This window comes from Homo sapiens, chromosome 1 (genome assembly GCF_000001405.40).
Source record: "Homo sapiens chromosome 1, GRCh38.p14 Primary Assembly".
Classification (NCBI taxonomy): domain Eukaryota; kingdom Metazoa; phylum Chordata; class Mammalia; order Primates; family Hominidae; genus Homo; species Homo sapiens.
This window is the reverse complement of record NC_000001.11, coordinates 65,809,393-65,826,822: the sequence shown is the minus strand read 5'-3', so window position 1 is coordinate 65,826,822 and position 17,430 is coordinate 65,809,393. Positions and strand designations below refer to the sequence as shown.

The 17,430-nt window shown below is 35.9% G+C and overlaps 1 protein-coding gene across 3 annotated transcripts in view, besides 1 other annotated feature; it reads right to left on the bottom strand.

Annotated features, from left to right (window-relative positions):
• The window catches only part of PDE4B (phosphodiesterase 4B), a 582,070-nt gene that overhangs the window by 547,757 nt on the left and 16,883 nt on the right, over nucleotides 1-17,430 (bottom strand). The window lies entirely within an intron of this gene.
• Nucleotides 14,422-14,651: an enhancer, noted in NCBI's record as "active region_1145". NCBI's record gives its function as "activates an Ori minimal core promoter by ATAC-STARR-seq in GM12878 lymphoblastoid cells {active_cell/tissue: GM12878}" and the evidence as "EXISTENCE:reporter gene assay evidence [ECO:0000049][PMID:35858748]".

Here is a 17,430-nt window from a genome sequence, read left to right as displayed (position 1 = left end):
TGTGAACCTGGGTCACAATAGGGGGTGTAATTTTCCTAAGTGTTCCTTCTCCTCCGGAAGTATTGCTGGACAAAACCTACATTCCTGCCCCTTCCCAGAGTAGAACATTTTTATTTTTCCTGTTTTTTTCCCCAAGACGCAGTGGATTTGCACCAGTTCTCTCAGGCTACAATTTTAGTTACTCTTCCTCCTGCAGATTAAGGCATTTGTCCATATGAAGATTAGGGAGGTAGGTGTGGGCAATCTCAGAGTGGCTACTATTCCTTCCCCCAGCTAGCACTATAGAGAACAAGGGCAGTTTTCTTAGGATTCATTCTAATCTTCCCTCAAAGTAACTCTGAGTACCTGGTGGGACCTCAGGAGGAAAAAGTCTGTAAAATATATGAAGCCCTCTATTATTAAATATTATGGTCCCAGGGACTTCACTACCATGCTAGGCCACACTCAGCCTCAGCAAATTTTTAAAAAATTCTACCTGAATATTAGCAGCTTATATGCAACTTCTTCCCTAGAATAAAAAGTCCCATATTTATTAAATATCTATGCTTTAAGTCCAATGATCAGTAACTTAGGAGGCAGGGACAGAAAAATAACAACTTAGACTACTAATATTATTTTGCAAGAAGTATCAAGAGGATTTATGGATACACCTAGTTCCCATAAGCCAGCTTTTCCAATAAGTTTCATGAATTCCTATGAAATGTGAACTTTGGAAAGGAAAACTATCCTGTAGGTGAAGAGTTTGTTAAAACTCCCTAAAGGGACAAAATTAGCAATTTCTCAGTAAATCAGGCAAGTCTTCCATGTCGTTGAATACAGAATATCTTATGTTAGTCCAGATGCAAAATATGATGAAATTTAAATATGAGTCAGATTGCCATAAAGATGATAAAACCATCACTGTAAAAGTATTCACAGCCAGTACCAGAAGGATGTAGCATATAAGGAAGATGAGTAAGAAGTTGTTTTTAAAGAAAAAAAAAATCTCAGGAAAGGAAAACTAAAGGAGATTCTTGAAGCTCATTTCAGGACAGATAACAGAAAACTCACCAAGAGAATGTTGAGATAGATAGATAGATAGATAGATAGATAGATAGATAGATAGATAGATAGATAGGTAATTTTGTTTTTAATTTTTTTTTAGAGATGGGGTTTGTCCATGTTGCCTAGGCTGGTCTTGAACTTCAGAGCTCAAGCGAACTGCTTGCCTCAGCCTCCCAAAATGCTGGGATTACAGGTGTGAGCCACTGCACCTGGCCCCAATAGATGTTTTCAAACAGATTATTGAGATAATTATGGATAGTAGACTCTTTCAACATGTGATTCTATCGATTAGGATGTATCTAGCTTCAAGTAATAGAAAATCCATGAGCAGCAAACAAAAAAGCATTTATTGTTTACTTATGCATATGTATGGAGGAAAGTATTTCCAGGGTTCATTCCTTTGCTAAACAGGGTCATCATGAACCAGTCTCTTTCCATCCTTGTGTTCCACCACCTCATTGTTTTAGGGTTTTGCCCTTGTAGTTATAGACTGACCACTACAGTTCCAGGTATAATATCATCACAACAATGTCCACAATTGAAAAAGGGGAGGTGGGGAAGAGCAATGTCAATGACCTCTCTTCATACACCCCTTTCCTTGGGAAGCAAATTATCTTTCTCAGAAACTTAAGTTTCTTTGGCCAGAACAGGGTCACATGTATGTATCTGGCTTTTCAAATTCTAATGGAAGGGGAAAAGAGATAAAAGAGGTAAGGAATAAGAAATGCTTTGGGGTCACCAGTTAATCATGTCTGCTACTGATCCAAATGGTACTGGGGGATTTCATGAAAGAAAACACCCACATTCTTCTGCCATCATTATGAGAGATAGATTGTGTTTAATGTAACTTTGTTATCACCCAAATGAACCATTCTGATGATCTGTAGCATCACTAGAGAGCCTGATTCAACTGGGCTTCAGAAAGCTGGACCTCCTTATTGCCTGCACACCAACTCAGACCTGAGGAGGCAGCAACAAAGCTGTATTCAGCATCAATCACACAAAGAAACTACCAAGAAGGGCTTGCTGTAAATGAAATTGTAAAATGCCAGCAATGGTTGTCAAATATGCACATCAGAGAATTTATTGGTTTATGAATTGTGTGTATATATATATATGTATGTATATATTTGTATATATATAAATATATATGTGTATATATATATGTAGGTGAAGTATTCATATATAAATTACTTTAGGGGTAATTTATAAGTCACATAAGAAATTCAGTCTTATTCCTTTATATTTCCACATAATCAATCCTCTAATATTTTTGCATACAGAGCACTGTCAATATTTTTTATGAAAAGTAGTATTGCCTAGTTCATTTTATTCACCAGATTTAATTCCTAAAATATTTAAACTATTTTCTTTAAGCATACTCACACTAAAATATTACTGTTTTTCATCACTAAGAATTTTTTTAATGTATCTATGGTCTTAAGGGTACAGTTAGTTGATTGTGCAATATTAAATATGTTTGCTTAAACAATGAAGCCAATGGTCTCCTTTTATCTTCACACTAAGTATGTGAAAGATACCCTAGGAAAAAGAACACACCAGCCTGAGAAGACTCAGTTATTGACCTTGAGGAATTGATTGATTTTACAAAAAATAAAAATAAAAAAAGACAATCCTGAGACTTGGGTTCTATTTCCATTGCATGATTTTATTCATTCACAAAACAATTGCTATCCCCTAGTATATAAAATGCACTGAGATGGGGGGTGAGAATGAAGGATTATAACTTCCTGGATTTGCTACCTGGCAAAGACAACTATAACACCAGGTAGAAAGTGGTCAAGAGAACAAGGGAAATATAAACAATTACATGTTGCAATAGTTTAGAAGACAGAGAATGGATGATTGCTTTCATTTTTAAGGGGTACATAGCAGATAAGCAGTGGAGCTCATGGGTGGCCAGGCATGGAAGGAAGAAACTATAGTGTTCATATTGACATAACAAGATATTAGAATCTGCAGAAAGAAAGTGTAGATGATGAAACTAGAGGGAAGCAACATTAGAGATGTAGGTAGGTATTCATCAAAGAGGCATATAAGACGTTCAGATGTTACTTGCAGGCAAGTGGAAGTCACCAATATTCTGAACAAGGGAGTTAGATGATCAGTCAGAACTAGGGTCCAGGGAGAAGAAAATGGTCAGATGAATTGATAGTGGGGAGACTGGATGCTCAGAGACCAGTAAAAAGAGTACTGCAAACAGATGAGACGTTATAACATGGCAAGGGCCTGAACCAGTGCAGGCGCAGTGGAAACAATAAGGAAGGGACAGAAGTAAGACATAAAGACAGTCACTCTCAACCTTGGCTGCTCTTCAGAATTACCTCTCCAGAATTTTTTTTTTTTTTTTTTTTTTTTTTTAGAGATGGAGTCTCACTCTGTCGGCCAGGCTGTAGTACAATGGTGCGATCTTGGCTCACTGCAACTTCTGCCTCCTGGGTTCAAGCAATTCTCATGCCTCAGCCTCCTGAGTAGCTGGGATTACAGACACACACCACCACACCCAGCAAATTTTTGTATTTTTAGTAGAGACGGGGTTTCACCATGTTGGCCAGGCTGGTCTCGAACTCCTGACCTTGCGATCCATCCGCCTCGGCCTCCCAAAGTGCTGGGACTATAGGCACGAGCCACTGTGCCCAGCCTGTCCAGAATTTTTTAAAATGCAGATGAACAACAGGAGAGAAGAATAAGAATTTTTCAGAAGAGGAAGCAAGAATGGCAGATATAAATAAGAAAAGAAGCTCAGCCTCATTAATTATCAGGAAAATGGAAATTAAAATCAGTATGCGATACCACTTTACAACGTCTAGTATAAAATTGGAAAAAAAATCTTGAGCAGTGTCTTAGTATGTTTCTGCTGCTATAACAAAATATCACAGACTGAGCAAATTATCAATAATAGAAATTAATTTCTCACAGTTTTGGAGATTGGGAAGTCCAAGATCAAGACACTGGCAGGTTCAGTGTCTGGTGAGGGTTGGATCTCTCTGTTTCCAAGATAGTACCTGTTGCTTGCCATGTCCTCCAGAAGGGTCAAATGCTGTGTCCTCATGTGGTAGAAGCAGCGGAAGGGAAAAAGGACCTAGCTAGGTCCCTCCAGCCCTTTTATAAGGCATTAATCTCATTCATGACGGCAGAGCCCTCATGACCAAATTACCTCCAGAAAGTCTCACCTCTTAGTACTGCCACGTTTGGGGTTTAAGTTCTAACATGCAAATTTTGGAGGGACACATACATTCAAACCATAGCAGGCAGTAACAAGTAAAGACAGAGATATGAAGCACCACAAATTCTCATACATGACTGTTGGAGTAAATTGATACAACCACTTTGGGGAAAAAAAGGCATCATTTTGCAAAGTTGAAAATGTAAATGTAAAGTTTAAGACAGCAATTTCACTCCTAGATATATGCACTAAAGATGTGCACCTGGCCAAAAAAAATCACCGAAAACAATCTTAATATCCATTCACGGGAGAGAAGATTAATTAATTGAGCTATAGTCATTAGTGGAGTACTACACTAAATAAGTGGGCCACAGGTGCAGGCATCAGCATGAATAAATATTAAAACTATAATAGAGAATAAAAAAGGCAGGTCATAGATTACACACAGTATGGCATTTACATAAAAATCAAACAAAATTTAACCAGCTACTGCTCAGGAAGACACATACCTATAAGGAAATCTAAGGGAAAAATAAATACAATATTGAGAGTAGAAATTACCCTTGAAGGGAGGAAGAAGGAAATGCTAGACCAGCAATACATAGGATGCATCAGCTATGTTGGTAACGTTCTGTTTTTCTGAGCTAAGTTGGAGCTAAACAGTTGTTTTGCTATATTTATACCTTATTTTTCTATTTTATATTGTACTTTTCAATATCTCTGAAATTTTCACAATACAAAAGATGGACATTCATATCCCAGCATATCCAGGGATAAGTTTTAAGGGTGACATTTTTTAAAGACTCTACAGTTGATTCTTATGCATGCCAGGAATGAGAACAACTGCACTAAATAGGCAAAATTGGCAGATCAATTTTAGATTGCAGAATGAGTATAAAATGACACTCAATTCTGAGTTTCTGTTTGTAGAAAGAGAAGTTAGTACCATTATCTAAAATGAGAAGTCAGAAAGAGAAGTAGATTAGGGAGAAGTATAGACAAAATAGATTTAAGACACAAGTAACTGGATAAAGCAGGTTTTTTTTAGTTTTCATGAAATAGAGAACTTCTATATGTAGGAAGACCAGGACTGGAGAAAGTAGACTTCTTTAGGAGACAGCTTCTAGCCCTAAGAGCTATTATACAGAATCTATGCTACTTTCCAGGAAAATGTGCAAAGAACTTGTTAAATAGTTTCAAAATCAAAGAAATATTGAATAAATCATAACAGGATTAGAACTTCCTGAATCTCCAATCATTCTACCAAGGGGCACCCTTGTACTTAACAGCATTGGAAGGGATAACTGTTGCTATGGCAATTACTCTCCTGCAACCTTAAGCAAGAATAAAAAAGACTGACAGTTTATAAATGACGCAACCACTTTAACCTTTCTAGGGGCAGAATAAGCTGCATTCCACTGTGCCTGACCAAGCTGTGGTCAGCTGGAGTCATCATTAGAGACAGAGTGCCCTGTCTCATGCAATGTACTCATCTCTCCTCAGTGGATTCAGGCAAGCCACAGAGTTTGTAAATTATGGCCAGGGTTGGTAAAATTCTTTATTAAAATTCCAAGTAGCTAAATGAATTCTGAGGCTCTAAGGAAAAATAATTTCCTGGGCTGGGGCCCACCATGCAGCACTGTTAAGCCTGACTTACCTTACAGAGATTTCAATGTGTCAAAAAGTAAACCAGAGTTGATCAAATTCTGTCCATCTAATCTCACTTTTCCTGCTCTTTCCTAGGAGTGAAAGTGGATGGCTGAGTAATTATTTCTGTAATTATTTCTAATTGTCTATCTTTGGAGCTACCATTGATTGTCAATACTTCCATGCATTATTATTTATTAAATAAAATGTCAATGTAAATACCATATCTCTACTTTGTAGATGAAGAAAGGAAGAACCCAAGGGATTAATTTTCCCATTGACTCACTGCTATTAAGGACTACAGACTGAATTAAAACCTAAATTTAAGGTGGTAAAGTAATTTTTTAAAGGGCTAAGATACATCTTACTTAAAACATATGCTCTTACTCTGCCTCTAGAATTCCTCTTCAGGAAATTCATCTCACCCCTACTAAATCTCTTGTACTAACACACATTTCTGACCACAGACAATCTAATCTCATTAGTGAGAAAGCAATACTTCAATTAATCTTTATAATTTCATATTTTATTTTAACCATAAAACAAGATTATTAGAATTGCAAAAAGTGCCTATCTAACCTACAATATTTGAAGTTCTTTTTTCCATAGTGAATTGTTCAGATTGATTTGTCATTCAATGAGATTAATGTGGTTATTCAGAGATAAAATCCATTCTTCAATTTTTAAAGTTCTTTCCTTCTCTATTTCTAAGAAAATGGAGAATGAGCCCACTTGAATATTTCAATTGCAAAGAGAAAATCTCTGTATTCCTTCAATATGGGATCTCAACCACACCTCCATTCCCAATTTCAGTCTCAGAATGCTCTGAAAGATATATACTGTTGCTATTACTTCTATCTTTTAGTTTGATTAAATCTGAAAACCTTCACTTAGTTGCCCCCATAACTCCCCTGAAATATCTGACAGCAAAGACCTTTTCCAACCAAATCGTAGTCTTTTTGTCTAATCAATCTCTTGCTCTGTTGATACTGTCTCTTATTCTTTTCCTTGTGAATTCGTAACATGATTTCTCTGGAGCTATACATTGGTGGAATCCTTCTACCTCTGCGGTCATTCCTTCTGTAATTCTTTTACAGTCACAGCAACTAATTTCATGCCCTTTACAGAACAATTATAAACAAAGCAAAAACAAGAGAATATGCCAGGCGCGGTGACTCAGCACTTTGGGAGGCCGAGGCAGGCGGATCATGAGGTCAGGAGATCGAGACCATCCTGGCTAACACGGTGAAACCCCGTCTCTGCTAAAAATACAAAAAAATAGCCCGCCGCGGTGGCGGGCGCCTATAGTCCCAGCTACTCAAGGCTAAGGCAGGAGAATAGCGTGAACCCGGGAGGCGGAGCTTGCAGTGAGCCGAGATCGCGCCACTGTACTCCAGCCTGGGCGACAGAGCGAGACTCTGTCTCAAAAAAAAAAAAAAACAAAACAAAAACAAACAAGAGAATAAGCAGAGAATGGATATTCGTAAATATCTGAGACCAAGTTATATAAATAGCAAAGTCATTCAGACTGGTCTCTGGAGTTAGACTAATCAAATAACAGTTCCGGCACTCCTACAAGCCTTCTGACATTCAATCATGCAATCACCATATACTGAGACCTACAATGAATCAGGCATAGGGTATTGGATATGTAATCGTGGACAAAACAGTTGGGTTATCTATGATAGATTATTTTGTCTGCCATATATTTCATTTTTCTCTGTGGTGCCATCCCTCTAGGTGGATTATATATACCCATCCTGTTGTATTTAGGACAGGTCATGTGGCTTGCTTTGGCCAATGAAACATGGGCAGAAGTTCAAAAGCCCTTGTGTGGTTCCACATCCCTTCTCCTTCTGCTATGGCAATTGGCAATGTTCAAGGTAGCAGCTGTTTTGTTAGACTGATCCCAGAGTAAAATCTAAGTGTGGCAGAAGAGCACCACACTCACAATGGGCATGCAGTATGAGTGAGAAACAAACTATGTTGGGGTTTTTAAGAAGCCACTGAAATTTGGGGGTGTTTTATTATTGCAACCTATGCTAGCTTATCCTTGACTAATACTATCCCTGACTTTGTTGAGCTTATGGTCCAGTGGAAGAGACAGGTATTAAGCAAATAACAACGCAATAAATATAATATCTCTAAGCTTCCATTTCTTTACCTGTATAATAACATCTGCCTCCTGAGTTTGTTGCATGGATTTTAAAAGGCAATGTATTTGAAGATTTTTGTTATTTTATATATATATATATATATGTGTGTGTGTGTGAATATATATGTATGCATATATATATATGTATGTATTAAACATTCATTGTATAATAAGCCCTTAGCTAATTGAGAAAGGCGTGGTTCTGGCCTTTGAGAATCTCCTAATATTTATACAGAAGACACACACAAGAAAATGAAGAATTACAGTTCTGTACATGTGACGCTGGGAACACAAGAAAGGAATAGATTACTCTGCCAGGTAAAAGGGAGCCCATTAAAGGAAAAGAAAAAATTTTCTCCAGAGACAGGGACAATAGGAAGAAGGAGGATGGAAGAGAAAAGAACACAAGAAATAGAGCAAAAGCATGAAAAGATCACAGCTCTCTAGGAAAATTACAAGTAATTTAATAAGGTTGAAGAATAGAATGCAAACAGGAAAAGAACAATACACAAGAAAAGACATTTAGGCAGAGTCCTGAGCAGGAAAAGCTTAGAGTGCCAGGCCCATAGTTTGGTTTTGTGACATAGAAAGTGGCTGAAGAATTTTAAGTGTGGAAATAACTATAGCTAGATTTGCAGGCTAGAAATATCCCTTGGAAGGCATTGTTGAGGGTGGAAGAGGTTAGAGCAGGGAATAATTAGAAGGCTGCTGAAGGATTCTAAATTAGACATGATGAGGGCAAAATCAATAACAGTGACAGCTGAGCAATGAATTTAGCTTTTTTTTTGACAACTAGAGCAGAAGAGGCCCTATATTTGTATCTGATAAAAGAAATTTTACAAGTTTATCTGAAGAAACATTTTCCTGAGGTGTTAATTTTTTAAGAATAAAAATAATGTGTGTGTCCTTGTAAAATATGTAAATCAAGTAACACAATGAATATCATCTTCAATTATAATTTTACAGAAGACATTTTTGAAATATATATTTTTGTGAGATTATAAATTATTATACATAATTGTTTTTGAAAATACAAGGAAGTCTAAAGATGCAAACAAAATGGATAAATCTATGACTAAAAGATCATTAATTAATCTTCAATTTTTAGGGCGTATGCTTCTAGCTCTTTTCATTCATTCATGATGTACAAAATACATACACAATCCTATAAAAACCAAACAACGAATTTAGATATAGAGTCTGGTCAACACATCAATAAGAGTTGCAATAATAAAGGGAGGGACTAGAGTTTGACCTGCGACAGTAAAAATAAATAAATAAAAACCACTTCATGTGTACACAGCAGTGAGTTGGGACCCCATCAGCAAGCCATGTATGTACTGACATGTACATGTAAATTTAGAGTTACAGAAGAGTCTTGCTTTGATACTTAAGGCTCAGTCCTTTCATTTTCAAATTTCAATCTTCAACCTTAAATTTAAAGCTCTTCCATTACCCTGCCACCAATGAAAGCTACACTTGGGTTCCCTGTCAACAAGGTTCTGAATGCAAGAAGCAGCACCCTTACATACTGCCTCTTTTCTCTTAAAGGCTAACTCCACCAAAGACAGGGAAGAGAAAACGAATAAATCTCTCCTAACTTAACTGGGAGAGATTGTCACCCTCTTATGATTATTTTCCTGGCTCTTGGTTCTCTGCTTAACAATTTCACACTGGCTTTAGATGCCTCCTGTGTGGCAGGCAGGCATCATGAGGACACCCTTTTAATTGGGCCCACTCCTCACAAACATTGTGCACCCCCAAAAATTACCATTTCTGTGCAGTACATAGTAAACTTTGTTCACAGTTTTGAACCTCAGCTACAAGTCTGGAGCACAAGAATCATCTCACTTAATAATACTTTTTTACAAATATGTTTATGAATGTATTTGTGTTGGCTTTGTTACAAAATTATTTTTCAAAATTATAATTTTATAAAAATGCTTTTTACAAAACTTATTACATAGAAGCTGCTTACAAAATTCGAATTAAAACACACATATAGTATTGTATCTTGTTTTTATCTAATTTATACTGTATCATATTAATTTTCCCAAATCAACAAATACTCTTCAAAAAATGATTTTCATGGCTTTAATAGTAAGTAGCATAATATCCCCATATTAGATAATAAGGCTGTTTTGCTTTCTTTGTCCATTATAAATAGTGCTTGACTAACATCCTTGTTTATAAATCTTTGTGATGAAATCTGTGATTGCTTCCATAGATTTTATCATAAAATCAAAATTGAGTATGAACCATTTTATGGTTATTGATACAAATTGCCAATTTGCCTTTGGGGAAAATTGTACCAATTTATATTTCTACTCACAGTTTAAAGGTCCTTTCACTAAAAATTCTTCAAAACTGGCTATTTTTCCTTCTGAAACCTTTTATGAATTATCAATTCGGTAGCAGCAACCTTGCTTTAAGTTGCACTTATTTGGTTACTATGGAGAATTAATATATCTTCAAGCGTTTATTAGCTGTCAAGGGTTGAGATAATTAATTGTACTCACCACCCCACCCCAAAACCAAATCTCTCTATCTCTCTCTCTCTCATACACACACACACACACACACACACACACACACACACTGCATTAATAATCACTAAAAACAGAAACAGGAATCACACTGATTTTAAAAAATAGCTTTCTTAATGTTTAGGCTGATCAGAAAAGAATACTTGACTTTTGATAACACTTGGACCTTCCAAGATTCTTCTAAAACTGAAACACAAGCAGCTGAGGTGCATCTATAGGAAAAGAGAAAATTGAGAAAGAGCCGAGCCAAGCAGTTGTTATTTTTTTCTCACCAATTATTAAGATCAGTTAGCTTAGGATGGAGTCAGAAATGAGGAAACGGAACAAGGTACTGTAGCTGAAGTCCTTTTATGTAAAAACTTGAGGCAGGTGAATATGGTTCCTTCCTTATATAGCAATATGTATGAATCCTTTTACTGATTGCTTTTATATACTTTGTCCAATATTCTTTGAAGAGAGTAGGATTGTTATTATTGACTGATAAGTGCATTTTATTTAATAAGAATGTATCTTTGTCATATATGATCAAATGTTTAGTTCAGTTTAAATTTTTTTAGCTTCAGGACAAATTTTATTGAACAGAAACTCCTAATTTTACAATTGGTTTCTCAATGAACCTTTTTTTAAAAATAAACTTTTTTATTTTCAAATCATTTTAAATTTACAGAAAAGTTGTAAAGATAGTACAGAGTTTCCATACACACTTCAGCCATTTTTCCACTAAGGTCCTTTTACCATTCCAGCATCCAATCCAGGATACCATGTTGCATTTATTCTCAGTTTAATTTTTAATTTTGGTTGTATTTTTTCTCACTTACAGAGCCAACAGTACTCAATTTCTATTCCCAAACTGAACTACCATTTGATAAATAATTGTGTTGTCTCGTGACTTGAAACACCAACTTAATCATCTATATGGCTTCCAAATTTATATATCTTAAATTAAATTTCTTCAAAAGCAGAGATGTAATATTTATGTTGGCTCTTAAAGCACAAGTTATGCTTGCTTAAAAATGTGTGTTGAGGGTGGGGGGGAGGGGGGAGGGATGGCACTGGGAGATTACCTAATGCTAGATGACGAGTTAGTGGGTGCAGCGCACCAGCATGGCACATGTATACATATGTAACTAACCTGCACATTGTGCACGTGTACCGTAAAACTTAAAGTATAATAATAATAAATAAATAAATAAATAAATAAATAAATAAATAAATAAATAAAATGTGTGTTGAATGAAGAATTAATGAACACACTTTTGCTGGGAAATGCAATAATTTTTGCATAGCCAAGCACTTTCTAATTACCTAGAAAAATCAAGCTTTTCCATAACTAGGTATTTACTCAAGACAAATAAAAACATATATCCATGCAAAAACTTATACAAAAAAAAATTTGTAGCTGGTATTTTTGTAATAGTTTACACCTGGGAACAACCTAAATGACAATCAACAGGTAAATGTATAAAGACATTTTGCTATATCCCATACAGCAATAAGAAAAAAAGCATCCTTTGAGTGACAGAAACAAAAAAAAGCAGATACTATATGATTCTATTTATATAAAATTATAACAACTAAAACTAATTCACAGTGAAAGAAAGCAGATCAGTGTTTGCCAAAGGATGGGTTAGAGAGAGGAATGGACAGCAAGGAGGCACCAGGAAACTTTCGAGAGTAATGGAAATATCTTGATTGTGGTGTTTTCATAATTGAACACATTTGTCAATAGTCACTAAATTGTAGCCTTTTAAATGAGTTTAACTTATTGTACTTAAGCAGTATCTCAATAAAGTTTCTTTTAAAAAAAAGCATTACAGAAGGTGCACAAAATAATCCATTGGTTATAAGAATATATATATTACATTCATCTTTTATCAATGTATTTCATCTTCATAAATTTCTGTTTTCACATATTCTCTACAGCATCTAAACATATGTACATATAATAAGATGATGTGACTTAAATATTGTTATAAGGATGAGGGAGCAAAAGGATTTGAAGACTACCAGTCCAGCCAGCTAGAGGAAGAGTGCTGACACACACCCTGAGCTGTTTCCATCAACCAGCAGCTGCCTCGGGCAAGGCTTTGGCAAGCAATGTGCTGTAGTCAATTCACGACTGAATTTTCTGTCAAGTGCCCAGAGTGCCCCAGCCCTTCTGTTCACCTGGCTCTCGACTCTGGGTAATACCCAAAGCTCAAAACTTGGACTTCTTCACTGTTCTCTTTTTAGTCTAATAATTGGCTTAAAGCTCACATACACTCAGGGCTTCTATTATCAGCATAACACTGAAGACAAACAAATCTATATTCCAGATCTCTCAACTGTTGTTTTTTTTTTTTTTTTTTTTGCCGCAGTGCCTACTGCCTATTGGACACATTATTTTTCAAAGCTACATTCTAATTCAAATTCAGTATTTCTAACCCCATAGCTTCACAAACCAATTTCTTCTCCTACTCTTGCACTGCTGCCAAAGAAAAAAATACCCTGAAGTTATCCTTGATTCATTTTCCTCTTTTACTTTAAAAATCATAATTTCTACCCATTTGCCATTAAGGTCTTAATTTACCTATCTCATCTATCTGTAGCAGTGATTCTTTGAAACTATAGAGGACCCCCTCCTCAGAAAAACTACACTGGCACACATTTTTCATACTATTTTGAATATGATTTCCAGGGCCCACAATGAAAATGTATAGATCTCTATATTGTTCACTTCTAAAATCTGTTTACTCTGATCTGGCTTTTTCCTGAGAGTTCCAGACCACCTTCCAAATACTTTTCAGATAGGTATTATTTTATATGGCAAAAATATCTCAAACTTGCACGTTCAAAACTCAACATGCCATTTCCCCCAGCAAAACTGTATCTTTTTCTTAGTCTTTCTTTAGTGAATGGCAATTCAATTCCCCCAATTAATTAAAATAGTAACTTGCATATTACTGTTGACTTCTTTCTCCCTCCGTATACCTCTCACATCTAAATGGTAATTATAGTGACCTCCCACGATTAGTTAAGTGGCATGCATTTGACAAAGTATTAACAACCAACCCACCATATATGCTTACATATTTTCTGTATGAATTTAAATAAGTGACTCACTCCTCTACAGGTGAGCAGCTAATAAACCAAACCCTCAATACCTCATTCCTGAACTCCCTCGGTAGCCTCCTAACTCTCTGCCTGTTCCCAATCTCGTTCCAGTTTTAGTATCTCCCAACATGTCTTAGAATAGATTTAGGTATTCCCTCTCCAGCCCCTACAGAAACTTTAGTGTCCTTATCTTCATTCTTAAGGTTTTGTATTCCTGGGGCAACTTTTCCAGGGCTGTCTAGGACCCTTAGAAAGCAGTTGACAGGCAAATAGAAATAAAGAAGCTAGAGAATAATTGTTTAAGGTGTTATACTCTCTCCCAACCCCTGCCCAGTGCTATCTATTTGTGTTTTCATGGAGACTTTAGAATAGAGCTTCTCAACCAGTGCATTTCTATACATAATATCATATAGGAGGCTGAGACAGTCGTCCCCTCAGTCCCTAGGATAGGCATGTAATTCCTAGAACCACAAACAGCATTATCTATGTAGTTCAGTATTTACTACAAATATTAACATTCCAAAGTGTGCCAATGGATGAAAAAAATAATTGAGAGGCATTTAAAACACAGAAAGTCCCTCCAGTATCTAAAAACAATGAATTTCCACCCTGACATTTTACTGTCTTGGAAATTTAATGCCACCAACCTATAGTTAAAACCTACATGATTATGGCCAATTACATTTGGAAGGGATTTGTCCAAGTTGGCCCTGGATCAGGGAGAGCAGCAGCAGGTGAGAAATGCTGCCTTTGAGCAGCTGATGCAACCCAGGTGTGGCAGAGCATGGAGGGCCATACCCTAAGAAGGAGACCAGCAGAGAAACTGAAACAAGTGAGTAACTAACCTACAAGAGGACCCAGAAATTTAGAAAAGGAACTCTCAGAGCAGAAACTGAAAGCCAAGAACAGAACCCAAAATTGAGTCAGAGGAAATGAGGCAAAAGGTCAGACCTCGGGGAAGGAAGCTAGAGATGCCAAATCAGCAGAAGGCTGAGGGCTGAGGTCAGGGATGAGTCAATTCATCTGCTCTCAAAGCCAAAAGAAGCCCTAGCCCTTGAGCCACCACAAGGGTTAAAACTTCTTTAGTGAAATGAAAGGAACTAAGCTTAATTCCTCACTGAAACCTCAGTACTACAATATGTTAATTTTGTCTTTTAATGGTCCTGGGGTTTTTTTTGGTTTGTTTGTTTGGCTTTACTTTTTCCCCCTAATTTCCTCATTTACCTTCTGTATATTTTATATTTCATGTAATTTTTATTTAACGTTAATGAAACAGCAGCTTTCAAGTTGTCTTAGGCAGACAAGAAATTTTTTTCTAAATTTATTGAAATAAAAGTATATGTAAATTATGTCATAATATAAAGAGAAAATCCAAGCCACCTTACTATCATTAATATTAATATTATTTGTATTACTAGTAGCTATCATGTACTTAACTTTGTAACCTTGTGTCTTGTACTATGCTAGATGACTTTATATGTTAACTCACTCCTCACATTATCCACAGGAGGGATTATTAGTCACAAACAAATGAGGAAATCAAATAGGTCAAAAATTTTTCCATGATCCTATAACTAATAAATGGCAGGAATGAGATGTAAACCTGTGATGTGTCTGATTCTTAATTACTGCACTCAGCTCTATTTTATTTAAAATATGCTTATTTAAATATGACCCACATAAAATGGGTCATTTGCTTAATGAACATCTGTCAAAGCACAGCTGGGTATTAAGTACTTTTCTAGGTGCCCTTGGGGCAAAAGAAAAAGGAGAATCTGACATAGCCAAGCCTTGAGGATGCTCAAGTTAAGTTTGAAGACAAGACGTAGTCCATGAAATACAACAAAAATTAGTCCAAAGTCATAGGTAAGCCTTCAATTTGAGCCCTGAAGATACTATTTCTCAGCATATGACCCTGAGCAAGTTATTCTTATTGTGTAAAGCTGAGATCATAATGATATGAGCCTCATGGGGTGTTCTAAGGATAAGATGAGATAATGTAGACCATTAGTTTTCAACTTCAGGTGATTTCCTCTCTGACAAAAGATATTTGATAATGTCTGAAGCATTTTTGGTTGTCACAACTGGGTAGGGGGAAAAGAGAGTGTTGTTTGCATCTAGTTGGTAGAGGCCAGGGATGCTGTTAAACACCCTGCAATGCACGAGACAGGCTGTCTCCCAAACAGGGAATCATCTGGCCCAAAGTATCAATTGCACTGGGGTTGAGAAACCCTAACGTATTCGAAGCGTTTAGCAGAATCCTAAAGGCATTTAGTAGTAGATCCTCCACATTAACTCACTATATTTGCATGAAAAGGGGGTAGCACTTATGGCATTTATGTACTTAAGAAAAGAATTAAATAGAAAATAATTGTAAATATTAATAATAATTTTAAAATATAACCCTTTAAGAAAAAGTCTTACAAGTCAATGTGGTAGGTAAGAGCATAGGCTTTGGAGTCAGATAGACCTAAGTTTGAATCCTGGCTCTGTGTAATGCTGAAAAAAGTATTAATCTGAACCTCTCCATTTCTTCATCTTTAAAATGAAAATAAATATATCTAAGTTATATACCTGGAACATACTGAAACTCTCAATAAATATTTTTAAAGTTTTAACATACTGAGTCTTAAGCAGGCACTAGAAAAAGTATAGACTTTGGGTTGGTGAAAGAAAAAAAACAAGTCAGCCCTCGCTATATAAACTTAAGCAAATTACTTGGCTGAGGCTTAATGTTTTCATCCTCAAAATTAGTATAATAATGCTTTCATCACAAGGTAATAGTAGGAATTAAATGAGACTGCATTTAAAGCATTTCCTAAGATGCTTGGCACATGGTGAGTGCTCAATAAATATTAGTTACCTTCCTCCAGAGGAAAAAACAAAATCTTTATAAAGGTACTTAGGTCAAAATAAATAGCAAAAATTACCTTTGCTAGAGCAGAAAGTGTGGACTAAGGACTTTTGGAATATCCCATAATTTATCAACACTCCACCTTGGAGAAGCCCTGTTTCTGCATTTGAAAGGGAAGCTATACACTGCCTGTCCTTTTCACTGCCCACCAGCTTTCAACAAGCATCCTTCTTTTGGCCTAGGAATGTCACTGTGGCTTATCTAGGCTGAAAGAGAGTGCAGCCCTTGGCTGCAATTACTGGAAGAATAAAAATTCAATTCTTGAACTACAAATTTAACTGCATTTTAAGAGCACCAAAAAGATCCACAGCAGAAACTATTCATAAATAAGTTAAGCACAAGGCATGATTTATCAAGATATTTGTCATTCTATCTCTAAAAATGATCATTAATGCTGCTTTTATGACCATCTCTGAAAATCAGTTTGTCAGGCAGTAATACCAGAAACAAAATTACTCATTCAGTGACTGACTTCCTAGTCAAGACAGATGATATCTGAAAGTATAATAAATGCTATTTCAGAAAGTGCAGTTTAAATTTCAACAAAAATAAGAAAATAACCATAAACTATCCAATTCCAAGCTATGAATGCTAAAGCCTCTTTAAATATCCTATATCATGTACTTAAGATAATTTCCCAATCAAATGAAGGCAGTGTTTAGATCTCCTCATTTATGCTAATATTTCAATATGAAAAATGAGTCCATATACAAATGGAATATAAAATATAACACATATAACTTCACTAGTCTAAATGGCTTAATGAGTGTATTTTCCATTTGAAATTATATGTTTGCTGTCATTTGGCAAAGCTGACGATCTCATGGCAATTCTATAGGTTGTT